The sequence below is a fragment of the Homo sapiens genome, chromosome 10 (genome assembly GCF_000001405.40).
Source record: "Homo sapiens chromosome 10, GRCh38.p14 Primary Assembly".
In the NCBI taxonomy this organism is placed as follows: Eukaryota; Metazoa; Chordata; class Mammalia; order Primates; family Hominidae; genus Homo; species Homo sapiens.
Window position 1 is genome coordinate 100027007 of NC_000010.11, and position 15083 is coordinate 100042089.

The following is a 15083-nucleotide window of genomic DNA, read 5'->3' on the forward strand; positions in this document are numbered from 1 at the left end:
CTGAGGCAGGAGAATTGCTTGAACCCAGGAGGCGGAGGTTGCAGTGAGCCAAGATTGCACCATTGCACTCCAGCCTGGGCGACAGAGCGAGACTCCATGTCAAAAAAAAAAAAATTAGCCAGATATGGTGGCGCATGCCTGTGGTCCCAGCTATTCAGGAGGCTGAGGCAGGAGAATTGCTTGAGCCCAGGAGGCAGAGGTTGCGCTGGGCCAAGATCATGCCACTGCACTCCAGCCTGGATGACAGAGCGAGACTCCATGTCAAAAAAAAAATGACAGTAAGATAAATCTGGCATAGTTGACTCTATCTTCCTTCTGTCCTCCAAGCTGTCCTTGGTCATTTCTGGGCATAGGCCAAACTAACTTCGGGGGGAATTTAGTTTACAGTTTAAAGAAAGGATGATAATAGTCCCTCCCTAAAACTTACCCACTCCTTGCTCAGAGACTGAAACCTACCTTTTTAAGATTAATGAAAGGGCACAAGAATAGCATCATGGGAGGGGCTTGAATTCTGCTAAGATAGAGGCATAGTTTCTTTTGTTTTGTTTTGCTTTAGAGACAGAGTCTTACCCTGTTGCTCAGACTGGAATGCAGTGGTGCAATCATAGTTCACTTTAATCTTGAACTCCTAGGCTTAACTGATCCTCCCACCTTAGCCTCCCAAGTAGTTGGGACTATAAATGCATACCACCACGCCCTACTAATTTTTTTATTTTTTAATTTTTGTAGAGCCAAGTGTGTTAGGCTGTTCTTGCATTGCTATAAAGAAAAACCAAAGACTAGGTAATTTATAAAGAAAAGAGGTTTAATTGCCTCATGGTTCCACAGGCTGTACAGGAAGCATAGTGCTGGCCTCTACTCAGCTTCTGAGGAGGCCTCAGGGAGTTTTCACTTGATGAAAGCAGGAGCAAGAGAGAGTGGGGAGGGAGGTGCTGTGTACTTTTAAACAATCAGATCACACGAGAACTCACTCATTATCATAAGGATTCCAGCAAGGCATGAGGGATCTGCCTCCCTAACCCAAACATCTCCCACCAGGCCCCGCCTCCAAAATTGTGGATTACATTTCAAACTGAGACTTAGTGGGAACACATATCCAAACCATATCACCAGGGTCTCACATTGTTTCCCAGGTTTGTAGGTGTAATTTCGATAAGCCCTTACTGCTTAGGAGTCATGTGGCCAGAGGGCACAAGATTTGTAACTTCCCCAATTGCTCCTATAGAAAACATTACTATTGTAGAACCTAAGGTTGGTTTTCTTTAGATATCTTTCAGACTGACCCCAACTAGACTCATGACTTATGACTCAGCTGATCCTGTGGCCCCTCCCAGAAGCAGACTCAGAGCAAGAGGACGATTCTCCACACACCTATGATTTCATCTCCAGCCAATCAGCAGCACCCATTCCCTAGCCCCCTGCCCAACAAATTGTCCATAAAATCCCCTAACCTTCAAACCTTCAGGGAGAGTGATTTGACTGATAACTCCAGTCAAATGGGCCAGCCTTGCATCAGTTAAACTTTTTGTCTACTGCAATGTGGTGGTCTCAATAAATTGATTTTGTCTGTGCAGCAGGCAAGAAGAACCTGTGGGGTGATTACAAAGGCGGGCCTGGGGACATGTTCCCAGTGCCTAGACCACCAGCTGCAAGGCAGAGTCAAACTCAATTATGGTCCCTTTTCCCTGCCCCAGCTTTGCCTCCTACCTATTCTAGGAGGGCTTTGATCCTCCAGGTATCATCTTCACACTCTGTCTTCTGTCCTGAGCTCTACACCTGGTATATAAATTCAGGACTCAGGCCCTGCCCTTTATAGTCCCTCTGGGTGCCACATGACTACATGAGACCCAAGACGACTAGCAAAGACATTGGGGAGGGTACCTGTGACACAGTTTCAAAATTCTCTTTTTTTTTTTTTTTTTTTGAGAGAGAGTCTCACTCTATAGCCCAGGCTGGAGTGCAATGGTGTGATCTCGGCTCACTGCAACTTCCGCCTCCCAGGTAAAGTGATTCTCATGCCTCACCCTCCCAAGTTGCTGGGATGACATCCACCACCACACCCAGCTAACTTTTGGATTTTTGGTAGAGACGAGGTTTCGCCATGTTGCCCAGGCTGGTCTCCAACTCCTGAACTCAAGTGATCCACCCACCTTGGCCTCCCAAAGTGCTGGGATTATAGGCGTGAACCATTCCACCCAGCCCAAAATTCTTTTCAGTATTTAAAATACTTGGCCAGGCAGGGCATGATGGCTCATGCTTGAGCTCAGGAGTTCAAGAACAGCCTGGGCAACATGGAGAAACTCTGTCTCTACTAAAAATACAAAAAATTAGCTGGGCCTGGTGGCATGTGGCTGTAATCCCAGCTATTCAGGTAGCTGAGGGAGAATTGCTTGAACCTGGGAGGCAGAGGTTGCAGTGAGCTGAGATCATGTCATTGTGCTCCAGCTTGAATGACAGAGCAAGGCTCTGTATCAAAAAAAAGGTCAGGTGCAGTGGCACATGCCTGTAATCCCAGCACTTTGGGAGTCAAGGCAGGAAGATCACCAGAGGTCAGGAGTTCAAGACCAGCCTGGCCACATGGTGAAACCGTGTCTCTACTAAAAATACAAAACAATTAGCCGGGCATGGTAGTATGCACCTGTAGTCCCAGCTACTCAGGAGGCTGAGGCAGGAGAATCGCTTGAACCCAGGAGGTGGAGGTTGCAGTGAGCCGAGATCATGCCATTGCACTCCAGCCTAGGTGACAGAGCAAGACTCCATCTCAAAAAAAAAAAGAAAAAAAAAATTAGCCAGGCATGGTGGTGCACACCTGTAATCCCAGCTACTCAGGAGTCTGAGGCAGGAGAATCATTGAACCCGGGAGGCAGAGCTTGCAGTAAGCCGAGATAACACTACTGCACTCCAGCCTGGGTGACAAAAAGTGAGATTCTGTCTCAAAAAAAAAAAAAAAAAAAAATTGGCTGGGCACAGTGGCTCACATCTATAATCCCAGCACTTTAGAAAGCCAGCACTTTGGGAGATGGGCAAATTGCTTGAGCCTAGGAGTTGAAGACAAGCCTGGGCAACATAGAGACTCTGACTCTATAAAAAACATACAAAAATATATTAGCTGGGCATGTGTGATGGTGCATGTCTCTAGTCCCAGCTACTTGGGAGGCTGAGATGGGAGGATTACCTGAGCCCAGGAGGTTGAGGCTGCAGTGAGCTGAGATAGCACCACTGCACTCCAGCCTGAGTGACAGAGTGAGAAGCTGTCTCAAAAAATAGATACACATATAAGATTAAGATTTCCTTGGTAAGGCCGGGTGTGGTCGTTCATGCCTGTAATCCCAGCACTTTAGGAGGCCGAGGCAGGCAGATCACGAGGTCAGGAGATTGAGACCAGCCTGGCCAACCTGGTGAAACCCTGTCTCTACTAAAAATACAAAAACTTAGCTGGGATTGGTGGCAGGTGCCTGTAGTCTCAGCTACTTGGGAGGCTGAGGCAGGAGAATTGCTTGAACCCAGGAGGTGGAGGTTGCAGTGAGCCGAGATCGTGCCATTGCACTCCAGCCTGGGCAACAAGAGCAAAACTCCGTCTCAAAAAAAAAAAAAAAAAAAAAAAAAAAGATTGCCTTGGTCAAAGTTATTGCAGACTGATGACAATCAGATCCATCTCTAGTGGAAAACATAAATTGAATCCTCATGAAATAGTCACTGAAAAGCCTATGCTCTTAATCATAGAACCCCATGTATCTTCTGCTCCTAAACTCTAAAATGGCTAAATGCTTTAACACTTTAATGCATTATGGCCGGGCGCAGTGGCTCACGCCTGTAATCCCAGCACTTTGGGAGGCCAGGGCGGGCGGATCACCTGAGGTCAGGAGTTTGAGACCAGCCTGGCCAGCATGGTGAAACCCCATCTCTACTAAAAATACACAAATTAGCCAGGCATGGTGGCAAGCACCTGTAATCCCAGCTACTCAGGAGGCTGAGGCAGGAGAATCGCTTGAACCTGGGAGGTGGAGGTTGTGGTGAGCTGATATCGTGCCACTGCACTCCAGCCTGGGTGACAGAGCAAGACTTCATCTGGAAAACAAACAAAAAAACCACAAACAAACAAAAAAAAACTTTAATGCATTATGCCAAAAGTGTGTTTTCATCAGGTTAAGAAAGCTTTTCATGGTCTACTCACTGATCAAACTCTTCACAACCTAGGACTAAAAGATGGGTTCTTCTGAGAACATTAGAGAAAGACTGCCCTTGTCACCCACATTGCAGCAAAACTTCTAAACCTTAAACTTTAGGTTCCTAATCTCACAACTCAGAAGGGTCCCTCCAGATTCTTAGAACTATCCCCCTTTGGGGACCTTAATGTAAATCTGGCTGGGCATGCTGGCTCATGCCTATAATCCCAGCACTTTGGGAGGCTGAGGTGGGAGGACTGCTTGAGCCCAGGAGTTCAAGACCAGCCTGAGCAACATAGTGGGACTCTGTCTCTACAAAAACTTTAAAAGGCCGGACGCGGTGGCTCACGCCTATAATCCCAGCACTTTGGGAGGCCGAGGCAGGTGGATCACGAGGTCAGGAAATCGAGACCATCCTGGCTAACACCGTGAAACCCCGTCTCTACTAAAAATACAAAAAATTGGCTGGGCGTGGTGGCGGGCGCCTATAGTCCCAGCTACTCAGGAGGCTGAGGCAGGAGTATGGCGTGAACCCGGGAGGTGGAGCTTGCAGTGGGCTGAGATTGCGCCACGGCACTCCAGCCTGGGCGACAGAGCGAGACTCCGTTTCAAAAAAAAAAACTTTAAAAAAGTAGCCAGGCATAGTGGCACGCTCCTGTAATCCCAGAACTTTGGGAGGCTGAGGCAGGCTAATACCTTGATCTCAGGAGTTCAAGACCACTCTGGTCAACATGGTGAAACCCTATCTCTACAAAAAATACAAAAATTAGCCAGGCACAATGGTACGCACCTGTAGTCCCAGCTACTCGGGAGGCTCAGATGGGAAGATTGCTGCAGCCCAGGAGTTCGAGGCTGCAGTGAGCTGGGATTGTGTCACTGCACACCAGCCTGAGCGACAGAGCAAATAAGACTCTGTTTCAAAAAAAAAAAAGAAAGAAAGAAAGAAAAGAAAAGAAAGAAAGAAATCTACCCAGGGAAGTTTCTCCCTATAAGCAGACAGCATCTTAGATGTAGACAGCTATTTCCCAGGATCACAGATCAAGACTCCTCTGGTATCATGAGACTGTTATCTCTCAGTTTTTTCCTTGCTTATGCCTCTATGAACAATAGAACTGAAAAAGAGGTATCTTGTGTGCACTCACAGGGTATACTTTTATTTGTACATGGACAAACTTATCTCTTGATACATGGAAGATAAGGAGGCAACATGGGCAAGAAATTTTAATACCCTTGTTGGTCCATAATCAGTCAGAAACAGAACATTGGACTTCTCTTAGGGGTTAAGAGAACACTTTTGTTTTTGTTTCCCTTCAGAATTCAATATGAAAGCTTAAAGCTGCCTTCTTACATATTTTAAGTTCAGCCTAAAGGTTTTTTTGTACATAGTGAACTGTAACCAAAATGTGTAAATGGGCTGTAACCTTACTGTTATACCAATCATTGAGTTTTGACCAATCAAAGGTGGGCAACTGTTTAAACTGTGTTCAAATAAGGCAAATATCAAACTATATACAATCCAGCTGCTTCTGTACGTCCACTTCTGCTTTATGTACATCACTTTCCTTTTTCTGTCCATAAAATTTAGACCACACAGCAGCGACAGAGTCTCCCTGAACTTATTCTGGTTTGGGTGCTACCTGGTTCACAAATCATTCTTTGCTCAATTAAAAATTGTTAAATTTAATCTAAGGTTTTTTTTTTTTTTTTGAAATAACAGAAAATGTAGGTTTTTCTTTTTCTTTTTTTTTTTTTCTTTGAGACACAGTCTCGTTCTATGGCCCAGGCTGGAGTGCAGTGGTGCGATCTCGGCTCACTGCAGCCTCTGCCTCCTGGGTTCAAGCAATTCTCATGCCTCAGCCTCCCTAGTAGCTGGGATTACAGGCATGAGGCACCACACCTGGCTAATTTTTGTATTTTTAGTAGAGATGGGGTTTCACCATGTTGGTCAGGCTGGTCTCGAACTCCTGACCTCATGATACACCCGCCTCAGCCTCCCAAAGTGTTGGGATTACAGGCGTGAGCCACCGCACCCAGCCGAGGTTTTTCTTAATTAAGAAAACTTTTTTTAATTGAGACGAGGTCTATGTTGCCCAGGTTGGTCTTGAACTCCTGAACTCAAGCAGTTCTCCTGACTCAGCCTCCCAAAGCACTGGAATTACAGGTGCGAGCCACTACACTTGACCTGTCTAAGGTTTTTCTTTTAATAGGTCACAATATCACACTGTGAATTCATTTCTGGGATCTTTAACAGAAATAAACTTGATTTCCTTGTATTGAGACCTTACCATTTTAGAAATTTTTTCTTTTTGAGACTGGTTCTTGCTCTGTCACCCAGGCTGGGGTGCAGTGGCATGATGGTAGCTCACTGCAGCCTTGACCTCCTGGGCTCAAGTGATCCTCCCACCTCAGCTTCCCAAGTAGCTGGGACTACAGACATGCATCACCACACCTGGCTTTTTCATGTTTTTTTGTAGAGACAGTGGGCTCACTACGCATGTTTCTCTCTTCCTGATTTCTCCAAAATTTGGAAACTAGTTGTGAGTATTCTTAACTTATGGCAATATAGTTATTTGCATAAGTGCAATAAGAATCTGTTTTCTTTTGTAACAAGACACAATTGGAGACACTGGTTAAATTTTACCAAGGTTTGGACTGGAATGGTATGCCTTCAGATGCAGACTCCTTTAAGGAATCAAAGTTGACTTATAGAGCCAATGAACCAATAAAAGCCCCTTGGGACAGCTGGCCTCATGCCTTATCTACATAGTCCCTGCACAGGTTCCTCGCCTATGGTATGTATGGAATGTCACTTTCTGACAGGCCCAGGAGCCCCAAGTTTTCTTGGGACCTTGAAGTGAGGAATTCACCCAATTATTACTGGTATTTGCAGGCACAGGCTGGGCTTAAGGCATTAAAGTAGAATCTGAGGTTCTTTATGGAATAAAGTTCCAGCAAAGCCTGTTTTTTGTTTTGAAGAGGAGCCTATATGGCAAATAATTATTCTTTCTGACTTTATGCAAATACTCTGGCCAAGTATAATAAGACTGAAACTTATTTTGCAAATGAGTTTGTCCTGTGATTTGTCTTTATGAAAACAGGACTGGAGAGAGAAAAATTATGTTTTAAAATAAACTATAGTACACCTGTTTTTAGATTCTAGTGTTGCCTAGTGTTTTTCAATTTTTAGTATTTTCCACAGTTTTAACTGAATTCCAAAATTTTTCCTGACTACATGTCTCCAAAATAATGTTTTCCATTTTTTTCCTTACTTCCTTTCCTTTTTCCCCCCATTTTTCCTGATTTGAAATTACCAGAGGGAGGCCGAGGGGGGTGGATCACTTGAAGTCAGGAGTTCAAGACCAGCCTGGCCAACATGGTGAAACCCTGTCTCTACTAAAGACACAAAAATCAGCTGGGCGTGGTGGTGCATGTCTGTAATCCCAGCTATTCAGGAGGCTGAGGCAGGAGAATCACTTGAACCTGGGAGGCAGAGATTGTAGTGAGCCAAGATCATGCCACTGCAGTCCAGCCATGGTAAAAGAACAAGTCTCTGTCTTAAAAAAAAAAAAAAAAAAGGAAAAGAAATCACTAGAAATTAAGCTTTGCTTTCTTAAAGCCCTGTGAACTGAAGCTAGACAACTTAAACTTTGGAAGAAAATACATATGTAAGCCACTTTCATACATGTCTACTGATGTAAGAACTTCAGAGTAACGTGGCCTGTATCGATTTTCCAGGATTGTTCTTCATTTTTTGTTTGTTGTTGTTTTCTCCCTTCCTCCCCTATTTTCTCTTTGTTGGACATAAGACTCCACAATCTGCTAAAAATGAGCTTTTCTAATAATGTGGGACTTACTAATCTAAGAATAAACCGTCCTAGCCATGAGAGATGAGACATAACCTGAGACCAGAGGCTCATTTCCTCCTAAAAAGCTTTCTCCAAAAGATATTAAAAAGGGGAGAAATGTGAAAGGAGAATCACCAAAGGGTAAAGTCAAGCTGGGAACTGCATCAGACAAACCTGCCTCCCATTCTATTCCTAAGTAAGATGGCCACAAAGATTTAAAATAATAATAATAATAATAATAATAATAATAATAATAATAATAATAATAATAATAAAAGCTACATACCCCCCTCACAATTTGCCCACAAGGAAATTCCTTGTAGACAAAGGACAGACAGAACTCAAAAAGTCATCTCTCTGCTCACCTGAGACAAATCCATATCTGATTGCTTCCTTTGCCCTATTGTTTCACTAAGCCAGACTAAGGCATAAGTGAGTATTCACTCGTGCCTTGTGTATTCAGCGAAAGGCTAATCAGAAACTCAAAAGAATGCAACCATTTGTCTTTTATCTACCTATTACCTGGAAGCCCCCTCCCCACTTCGAGTTGTCCTACCTTTCTGGACCAAACCAATGTATATCTTACTTATACTGATTCATGTCTCATGTCTCCCTGAAATGTGTAAAACCAAGCTGTGTACTGACCATCTCGGGCAAATGTCGTCAGGACCTGCTGAGGCTGTGTCATGGGCATGTCCTTAACTGTGACAAGATAAACTTTCTAAATTGATTGAGACTTGTCTGACATACTCTTGGTTTACACATGCTATCTTGTATTTACAGAGTCCACCCACATGCATGGAAGGAGAATTATACAAGTGCATGGGTCATTCAAAGATGTGAGAATTCTCCCTACCAGGGTTTCTAATTTAAAAAATAGATGCACAAAACTATTACTACTAGATAAAAGAAGAAAAATAGTGAAAGAGGTGAGAAGGAGAAAAAATGTGAAAGTAATATTGGAGATTGTGCACTCAGTTCATATGTATAATACGTTTCTTTATATTCTGAGTGTTGGGATATAAAGATACAAAGACAGGGCAGTCACAACTTACTGGAGTGGAAACCCACCAGCAGAAACCTCCGTGGGAACCAGTACCAGGTCCAGAAGTCATCAGGTGTCATGCTGCCTGAAAACTGGCAATTTTCCTATCTCCTCAAGTGAGGGGGGGAATTACTGTGTCATGAAATCCTCAACTTAGAAGGAAAAGTGCCAAGAAGAATAAGGAACTAATAAAGGTTGGATTCCAGTGTATGAATTTGTTTTTTTTTGTTGTTTTTTTTTTTTTTTGAGATGGAGTCTCACTCTGTCGCCCAGGCTGGAGTGCAGTGGTGTGATCTCGGTTCACTGCAACCACTGTCTCCCGGGTTCAGGAGATTCTCCTGCCTCAGCCTCCTGAGTGGCTTGAAGTTTTTTTAAAAAAGAGAGAGAAAAAAAAGACAGGGTGGGCTTGGTTCAGCCTCTCAGGAGAATGCCTCACCTCCAAGCTCCTTTTTGCACCCCTAAGTCCTTGATGTCGCTGGCAGATAAGTGATAATCCTCCGAGGAGAGTGTGGGGTGAGGGTTGGCCTTCCGCCTCCTGACTGATTTATAAGGGCGGCACCTTTAATCCTCACAAACTCAGAGTGATAAAACCACATTTGCAAAATTATAACTGAAGAAATTATGACAGTGAAAGAAATCAGACCTAACCGACTCTATCTTGCTTCTAACCTTTAAGCTGTCCTTGGTCATTCCTGGATGTAGGCCGAACTAACTTTGGGAAGGAATTCAGTTCATGGTTTGACTCTGTAACAAAATTGGTAATAGACCTTTCCTAAAAAGACCCCCTTCTTGCATGGGGACCAGTCTGCCTTTGCAGGACTAACAAACTGGCTACAAGATTAGAAATTACAGTTTACGGGACATGCAGCCTCTGGCTCCAAGAGCCTGAACCTCCCCAAATTGCTCCTGAGGATAAAATCACTATTGTAAAACCTAAGATCAGTGTTTGAGATATTTTGCAGACCCTGTACTCGACGGATCAGCATACATCACCCAGACTGGTAATCTGGCCCAACCAGTTCTGCCGTCGCACCCAGGAACAGAAGACATTAAGAAAACCTCATTTCAACCCCCTAGGATTCCATCTCCAACCTGACCAATCAGCACTCCCCACTTCCCAAGACCCTGCCCACCAAATTATCTTTAAAAACTCTGATCCCCAAGCCGGGCACGGTGGCTCACACCTGTAATCCCAGCACTCTGGGAGGCCTAGGTGGGCAGATCACTTGAGGTCAGGAGTTCGAGACCAGCCTGGCCAACATGGTGAAACCCCGTATCTACTAAAAATACAAAAATTAGCTGGGTGTGGTGGCGTGTGCCTGTAATCCCAGCTACTAGGGAGGCTGAGGCAGGAGAATCGCTTGAACCTGGGAGGCGGAGGTTGCAGTGAGCTGAGATTGCACCACTGGCACTCCAGCCTGGGGGACAGAGCAAGACTCCATCTCAAAAAGAATAAACCAAACAAACAAACAACAAAAACTCTGATCCCCAAATGCTCAGGGAGACTGATCTGAGTAATAATAAAACTCAGGTCTCCTGCACAGCCAGCTCTGCATGAATTACTCTTTCTCCATGCAATTCCCGTCTTGATAAATCACCTCTGTCTACACAGCAGGCAAGGTATACTCAATGGGCCATTACAGTGAGGTAGATTTTCTTTTTCTTCTTTTCTTTTCATTTTTCTTTTCTTTTCTGTTCTTTCTTTTCTTTTCCTCTTTTCTTTTTCTTTCTTTTCTTTTTTTGATAGGGTCTCACATTGTTGCCCAGGCTGGAGTACAGTGATGCAATCATAGCTCACTGCAGCTTCCACCTCCCCAGCTCAAGCGATCCTCCTGCCTCAGCCTCCTGAGTAACTGGGACTACAGGTCCATGCCACCACACCCAGCTCATTTTTGCATTTTTTGTAGAGAGGGTTTTGCCATGTTCCCCAGGCTGGTCTCAAACTCCTGCGATCCTCCTGCCTCAGCCTCCCAAAGTGTTGGGACTGCAGGTGTGAGTCACCATGCCCGGCCAGATATTCTTTCTTTTTTTTTTTTCTTCAGATGAATAACTATGACTCAGAGAAGGTAAGTTATTTGCTCAAGGTCACACAGCCAATAAGGAACAGAGCTAGAGTTAAAACCCACGTCTGTCGGAGTCCAAAACCTGTGCCCTTCATTAGGGGCTTCTTCCCCTTTAGGAAACACCACCTATCCAGGCTGGCATTCCAAGCAGAGGGTTTCCTCTTCAAAGTAACTTTCTAGCTATAAAATAGAAAGGGTACCAGCCAGGAGAGGGCTGAGGCCAAAGTTGGAAGCCCTTCCTTCATATCCTGTCAACCCTGCCCACTCTCGTCCTGTGAGTCCTGGTTTCGTGCCCTTTGTATGCACAGAGAAATTTTCATGTGGTTATAGCCAGACCCTGTATTTTCCATATAATACTTGGTCTGTATAATCACCTCTGGCTTGAGTGCATTTTACTAAGAATGGTTTTTAGGGCTTGGTTTAAAAATCTGCATCTCCTTTAGTACTTAAAATCCTCAGGTGGTGGGCAGGGTGGATCTGAGTCAGACTGGAAGTCCAAAAGCAGCAGAGAAGCCCTAGGGAGCTAGCAGGAAGTGCTCTGGAGTTTCCTGGTGTTCCCCACCCCTGCTGCCTGCCCGGGCTAAGGCCACCTTTTCTCCTGGCTTTTAGTGGTCTCCCCTCTGCCTCAGCCAGCTCTTCAGGCAGCAGTCAGGCACTCATTCTAAACTGATTCTGCACTCCCCTCAGCAGAACCCTTCAATGGCTACTTGTTTTTCTCAGGATAAAGTCCAAACTCTGTGCTATGGCTCAAAGGTCCTTCATGATTTGGTCCCTCCCTACCCCACTGGCCTTGGCTTCTGGCATCTCACTCAGCTGCCACCATGCTGAATTTCATGCAGCTCTCTTGAACAAGCTGCAAATCTTCCAAGAGCCTCAAGCTGTGCTGTCTCCTCAGCCTAACTATTGTTCCCCCATTTCTTTCCACCTGGCCAATGCCTCTTTATCTGACCTCATTATATCTCACCTTAGACTCCACTAGCTCTGGGAACCCTTTCCTGACCTTCCCAAGACTAGAGTAAGGCCCTTGCCACTGGCTTCTGTCCTCACCCCAGAGTCAACAGAATCCCAGCAATTATTACAAGATACTGGAGTGATCTGTTTCCCTTCCCAAGTAGCCTGTGGCTGCACTGAGATAATGGACTGTATCTTCTTCCTCTTTATATTTTCTGAATTTATTGAGAGCAAGGACTCAAAATATGTTCCCTGCATGAATAAACGGAAGAATGAATAAAATTCTGTGGCTATGCCAGTGAAAGTACTGTGACCGTATTTCATAAACATTAGCTCTGTCAGGTGACTTCGTACCAAGGAACCTAAACACAAAGTAAGTGATATTCAGACAATCTGGGAAACAGTGCATGCAGCAACCTCAGGTATAAAGTTTCACTGAATTGAAAAATGGAAACCCTCTCAAATAGTGGCCTCTTTATAACAGCAAGAAAGGCACCAAGGAACATGGGATTAAAATTAGGAAGAAATAAAAAATAGAAAGAAACAATTAGCCTTTTAACCTGAGGAGTGAATTCCCTAAGTGGGAAAAGATACATTTTCTTCTGTTTTCTTTTTGACCACAGATAGAGAGATTGCTCAGGTAACAGAAAAATGAATTATGTGTTAATCCTAATCCCGAATGGCCTCCAGGGGAGGGCGAGTTGTCACAGCTAGAGCACCTATGTTTTCTGATGGGTATGGGAATACAGTCAGCCCTCCGTATCTGCAGGTTCCCATTCAACCAACCTTGGATCAAAACTATTTAAGTAAATAAATAAATAAAAAATAATAATACAGACTGGGCACCATGGCTCATGCCTATAATCTCAGCACTTTAGAAGGCAGAGGCGGGAGGATCACTTGAGCCCAGGAGTTTGAGATCCTATCACTACAAAGAAATTTAAAAATTAGCCAGGTATGATGTCACGTGCCTGTGTTCACCATGTTGGCCAGCTACTTGGGAGGCTGAAGTGAGAGGATTTCTTGAGCTCGGGAGATTGAGGCTGCAGTAAGCCATGACTGCACCACTGCATTCCAGCCTGGGTGACAGAGTGAGGCTGTCAGAAAAACAAAAAATAAAATAATGCAACAATAAAAATAGTACCAAGTAAAAATACAATATAACAAAACTATTTACACAGCATTTACATTGTATCAGGTATTATAAGTAATCTAGAGATGACTTAAAAGTATATGGGAGGATATACCTAGGCTAAATGCAAATACTATGCCATTTTATAAAAGGAACTGGAGCACTCTTGGATTTTGGTATCTGAGAGGGTGCTGGAACCAACTGGGTGCCAAGGGATCACCATACCATGTCACTTAACAATGTGGGTACATTCTGAGAAATGTATCCCTAGGTGATTTAATCATTGCAGAAACATTATAGCATGTACTTGTACAAACCTAGGTGGTATAGCCTCCTACACACATAGGCTGAAAGGTACAGCCTATTGCTCCTAGGCTACAAATCTGGACAGCATGTTACTATACTGAATGCTGCAGGCAATTGTAACACAGTGGTAATTGTGTTACATATTCTTTTTTTTTTTTTTTTCAGATGGAGTCTCACTCTGTCACCCAGGCTGGAGTGCAGTGGTGCAATCTCGGCTCACCGCAACCTCCACCTCCTGGGTTCAAGCAATTCTCCTGCCTCAGCCTCCCAAGTAGCTAGGATTACAGGTGCCTGCCACCACACCCAGCTAATTTTTTGTATTTTTAGTAGAGATGGGGTTCACCATGTTGGCCAGGCTGGTCTCGAACTCCTGACCTCAGGTGATCCACCCAACTCGGCCTCCCAAAGTGCTGGGATTACAGGCATGAGCTACCGTGCTCAGCCTGTGTTACGTATTCTAAATCTAAACATATCTAACCTAAATCTAAACATATCTAAATATAGAAAAGTATAGTAAAACCATGGTATTATAATCTTATGAGACCACCATTATACACACGGTCCACTGTTAACCAAAACGTCATTATGTGGCACAAGGCTGTAATTATTTAGTAGAGTTCAATTTCTCAGTGGTAAGAAAAGGGCTGGTTAATTAGAGGTGCTGTGGGGAGAGGGGTAGATGAGGAAACTGGAGCCTGCCCTGTCTAACTGAGGCTGAGCTCTGAAACAAGGTGTATGGCAAAAAACCACTTCCCACAGGGGACTCAGGAACCCCCACATGCCCAATGAGGGTTTGTAAACTTGAGTGCTGCAAGGTAGGTGATGAAAGACTACACATCCCTTCAAAATCTTTAGTAACATCTACTTTGCTCAATAATGTTTTTAGTGCAAATGGGTTCTTCCTGGGGAACTCAAAGAGGTGGAGAGTGCTATGTCGTGCTGGGGACAGAGCCAGGATGCAGCCATGCCTTAGGGGCAGCTGCACATATTTCCATATCCAGCAAATGTTTTGAAAGATGCATATTTATTAAATGTCCATGTACAAAGAAGGGTAGCCATGGCACTAGGTATTTGCATGTCAAATTCTTTGCTTATTAAGATGCTATTGGCTATTGCTGAAATGATCCTCTGGGATTTCAGAAGAACTGGTCACCTAATTTTGCTATGGGAACAACATCAATGATGGATCACTTACTTCAGCATTTCAGACATGGTTCAGAAATCTTCACTGAGCACTAACTCTTCTGCAAACTCTGTGCTAGATTCTGGAGGTGCAGCTGCCAACCAGCCAGAACCAGTCTCTGGATGCAGTGTGGACTGGCATGGAGCCTAAACCAGACTCTCAGAATAGAAAAACCTTACCAAACACCACTAGATGTATGTACTACCACATCAGCTTTCTTTTCTTTCTTTCTTTCTTTTTTTTGAGACAGAGTTTCACTTTTTTGCCCAGGCTGGAGTGAAGTGGTGCGATCTCAGCTCACTGCAACCTCTACCCCACAGGTTCAAGTGATTCTCCTGCCTTAGCCTCCTGAGTAGCCGGGATTACAGGTGCATGCCACCATGACCAGCTAA